The sequence below is a fragment of the Homo sapiens genome, chromosome 10 (assembly GCF_000001405.40).
Source record: "Homo sapiens chromosome 10, GRCh38.p14 Primary Assembly".
Lineage (NCBI taxonomy): Eukaryota > Metazoa > Chordata > Mammalia > Primates > Hominidae > Homo > Homo sapiens.
This window is the reverse complement of record NC_000010.11, coordinates 103,213,046-103,217,758: the sequence shown is the minus strand read 5'-3', so window position 1 is coordinate 103,217,758 and position 4,713 is coordinate 103,213,046. Positions and strand designations below refer to the sequence as shown.

Sequence of the window (4,713 nt, the reverse complement as noted above, 5' to 3'; positions counted from 1 at the left end):
TTTTTGTATTTTTAGTAGAGATGGGGTTTCACCATGTTAGCCAGGATGGTCTCGATCTCCTGACCTCATGATCTGCCCGCCTCAGCCTCCCAAAGTGCTGGGATTACAGGTGTGAGCCACCACACCCAGCCCCAATTAGTTTTATTGAAATAAATCTTTTTTTGTTTTTTGAGACAGAGTCTCACTCTGTCACCCAGGCTGGAGTGCAGTGGCGTGATCTTGGCTCACTGCAAGCTCTGCCTCCCAGGTTCACACCATTCTCCTGCCTCAGCCTCCCGAGTAGCTGGGGCCACAGGCGCCCATCACCATGCCCGCCTAATTTTTTATATTTTTAGTAGAGACAGGGTTTCACCGTGTTAGCCACGATGGTCTCGATCTCCTGGCCTTGTGATCCACCCACCTTGGCCTCCCAAAGTGCTGGGATTATAGGCATGAGCCACCGCGCCCGGCTTGAAATAAATCTTTAAAGAAAAAGATAAAGCATTTAAAAAGACAAGTCAAAGTACTTCAGGAACCACATATCCAACACAAGCTTTTTCCTCAAATGAGTTATGTTTGCCTCGCAGTAATAAACTTTTATTTCACTCAAATTACAGCAATAATCTTCCATACATAAGTATCTTTGCTGCCCAATAATTCAAAGGAAAAAAAATCCAAAATGATTAGTAAAGAAAATTGTGAGAATTAACAGACCCTTTAAATTTGTTTTAAATATTTTTGAGGTTTAAAAAGTGCTTAAAGTTTGCCCTAGTAGGAAAACATTATCTGAATGAATACCCTAATGGCAAACCACTGTAAAATGCTTCTGCTACATTTGGGGGACAGGGGTAGGGATTATCTTCAAAGCACCCCAGCTCTCTTGATGAGAAGGTCAGAGGTACACTGGTTTGTATCATTGCAACATCCATAAGGTGATGTAGGTTGCTTTTCCTTCAGAAAAGGCTTTATCAGAAAGGCATTAATCTTGACCTCCAAATTTGGCTGACAATTTACTGATAAGATTCATAACCTTTGTGTTGCTCTGGTATTTTGACATATTTGCTGGGTTCTGAGCCACATCCTGGAAGGCCACCATAACTTCTGGATCCTGCATGGCTGCAAGAACCTCTGGATCACTAAGAATTTCATTGAGTCCAGGCATTCCGGCCGTTCCAGGCATGCCCCCTCCCATTCCAGGCATTCCTCAGGGAAAATTACCAGGCATTCCCCCAGGAAAGCCACCTGGAAAAGAGCCATACTGAGCTCCTGACTGTTGTCTGGCTTCTTTCTCCCTCTGGGCTCTCTCATGTTCTTCTCAAGCCTTCTTAACTTTTCTATGCTTTCTTTGATCTCTTGCTCTTCACGTTTTCGCTCATACTTTCTCTGATGTTCTGCAATTTTCTGTGCCCTAGGTTGAACTTCTTTCAGCATTACACTAGCATCTTCATCATAATCCAATTTACAGGCAAGGGCAAGATCATGGGCTGCTTCTTCCCAGTGGCCTAGAAGTCTGTGTGCTTTCTCTCATCACTTGTAAGGCTGAGCTGAATCAGGATTTATTTCAATGGCTCTGTCACAGTCTCGGATGGCAGCATTTGGCTTCTGTAATTTGATGAAGACACTGGCCCTCTTAGCATACAAAATAGCCAAGCAAGGATTCAGCTTGATGGCATCTGTGAATAAATCAATGGATTTCCGCAGTTCACCATCATTTAGGGCTTCAATAGCAGCCACTTTCTTATCATTTGCCTGATCCATCATCACCTCTGTTATCCCATTTCTTGAGGGACATCAGTGTCTGGTTCAATCACACCTTAATTATCAATTTCTAGCTCACTTTCCTTACTTGATGTTTTGTCTGCCTTTAAGTCTTCCTCTACCTTCCTACTATCAAGTTTTTCTTCTTTGGTATTTTCTTCTGATTTAGCTTTCTGAGTAGTAGGTGGTACTTTACCCCTGTGCTCTCCACCCACTCCCTCAGGAATCTCATTTCCTCGGTGTGCGGAATGCTCAGATCCTGCTTACAAATTTTCACAAAGGCCCAAAACTCGTTCACTTTGCAGGGGTCCATGGTCAGGAGGCAGTATGCGAAGCTGAGGGGCTGCAGCCCAGTTCCAGGCCCAGATGCTGGCTTGGTGTGACCACGCAGAAGGGCCAAACCAATGTATATCTAAATGTACTGACTGATGTCTACCTGTAATTTCTGATCTCCTAAAATAAATAAAATCAAGCTGCAACCCAACCACCTGGGGCACATGTTCTCAGGACCTCCTGAGGCTGTGTCATGGGTCATGGTCCTCACATTTGGCTCAGAATAAATCTCTTCAAATATTTTATGGAGTTTAGTTTTTTTGTTTTGTTTTGTTTTGTTTTTCCTTTGAGACAGAGTCTCGCTCTGTCAGCCAGGCTGAAGTGCAATGGCACTCTCGAGTAGCTGGGATTACAGGTGCGTACCACCATATCCAGCTAATTTTTGTATTTTTAGTAGAGACAGGGTTTCACCATATTGGCCAGGATGGTCTTGAACTCCTGACTTCATGTGATCCACCCACCTCAGCCTCCAAAAGTGCTGGGATTACAGGCATGAGCCACCAGGCCTGGCCTGAATTTGGCTTTTTTCATCAACAATATTATTCTTCATTTTAAGAAAAAGAGAAAATGGCAACATTGAAGAACCCAAAACAGTACATGAATTTCGCTTATCAAGATACAATTTTTTTTTTAAATCCTGCAGGTTTCCTCAACCAGGTTATATGGTCCAAAGGCAAGTCTCCTGGAAAACTAATAGAATGAAACAGAGGGCTTTTTCTGGACCACCACTAAAGAAAGGGTAGTATGGGCGGGCGCGGTGGCTCACGCCTGTAATCCCAGCACTTTGGGAGGCTGAGGCAGGCAGATCACGAGGTCAGGAGATCGAGACCATCCTGGCTGACACGGTGAAACCCTGTCTCTTCTAAAAATACAAAAAATTAGCCGGGCGTAGTGGCGGGCGCCTGTAGTCCCAGCTACTTGGGAGGCTGAGGCAGGAGAATGGCGTGAACCCGGGAGGTGGAGCTTGCAGTGAGCCGAGATCCCGCCACTGCACTCCAGCCTGGGCAACAGAGCGAGACTCCGTCTCAAAAAAAAAAAAAAAAAAAAAAAAAAAAAGCCAGGCGTGGTGGCTGGCGCCTGTAGTCCAGCTGCTCGGGAGGCTGAGGCAGGAGAATGGTGTGAACCCGGGAGGCAGAGCTTGCAGTGAGCCGAGATCGCGCCACCGCACTTCAGCCTGGGCAACAGAGTGAGACTCCACCTCAAAAAAAAAAAAAAAAAAGAAAGGGTAGTATGGCACTGAACATGGAGGCCTACATTTGTTTGACTCTCTAGTCTGTATCTCTTTCTACCCTTTTGTCCTAATCCTCTGTGTATTAGTTTCCTACTGCTGCTGTAACAAATTATCATAGATTTAGTGGCTTAAAATAACACAAATGTACTATCTTACAGTTCTGGAAGTCAGAAGTCTGAAGTGGGCTTCAATGAGCTGAAATCAGGAAGTCAGCAGGGCTGCATTCCTTCTGGAGACTCTGGGGAGCAATCAGTTTTCTTGTGTCTTCCAGCCTCTAGAAGCCTCCTGCATTCCTTGGTTTGCAGTCTTCTCTCATCTTCCTAGCTTGCAGTGGCAGGTCAGATCTTTCTCACATGCATCACTTGGACCCTGACTCTCTCTTTTCCACTTTCCCATTTTAGGATCCTTGGATCTACCTGGAAAATGCAGGCTCTTCTTCCTATTTAATATCATCTAGTTAGCATAGTTAATTTCATCTGCAGACTTAACTCTCTTTTGCCACGTAATTGTAACATAATCACAGGTCCTGGGGATTAGGCCATTATTCTGCTTACCATGCTGCTAAGGTTAGATGCAGATCCTAGTACTTTACCCATCCTTTTTCTTATAAGCATGGATGGCTAGTATCTGACCAAAGAATTAGTTGAAATGAACTTTTTTGTGTTTGGTGAAAGTAAAAGTTATAAATTCAACTACTTGCCACTCAAATGAAAGAAGATTAATTTATGCTGAACCCAAGATGACTCTTGTTACAACAGGAGTGCTCTAGGTGTCAGGTAAGGGAGGACCCTAGTATCTCACGCTTCCGTGTCAAGAGACCACCAAACAGGCTTTGTGTGAGCAATAAAGCTGTTTATTTCACCTGGGTGCAGGTGGGCTGAGTCCGAAAAAGGAGTCGGCAAGGAAGATAGGGGTGGGGCCGTTTTAAAGGATTTGGGTGGGTAGTGGAAAATTACAGTCAAAGGGGGTTTTTCTCTTGTGGGCAGGGGCGGTGGTCACAAAGTGCTCGGTGGGGGAGTTTCCGAGCCAGGAGAAGGAATTTTACAAGGTTAATCACTCAGTTAAGGTGGGGCAGGAACAAATTACAATGGTAGAATGTCATCAGTTAAGGCAGGAACTGGCCATTTTCACTTCTTTTGTGATTCTTCACTTGTTTCAGGCCATCTGGATGTATATGTGCAGGTCACAGGGGATAAGATGGCTTAGCTTGGGCTCGGAGGCCTGACATTCCTGTTTTCTTATATTAATAAGAAAAAACCATAAAATAATGTTGAAGTGTTGGGGCAGAGAAAATTTGGGGGGGTGGTATGGAGAGATAATTGGCAATGTTTCTCAGGGCTGCTTCGAGCGGGATTAGGAGTGGCGTGGGAATCTAGAGTGGGAGAGATTAAGCTGAAGGAAGATTTTATGGT

At 44.6% G+C, this 4,713-nt stretch overlaps 1 pseudogene; it reads right to left on the bottom strand.

The window, feature by feature from the left end:
- Positions 1 to 764: 764 nt before the first annotated feature.
- Positions 765 to 2,133, bottom strand: ST13P13 (ST13, Hsp70 interacting protein pseudogene 13; annotated as a pseudogene).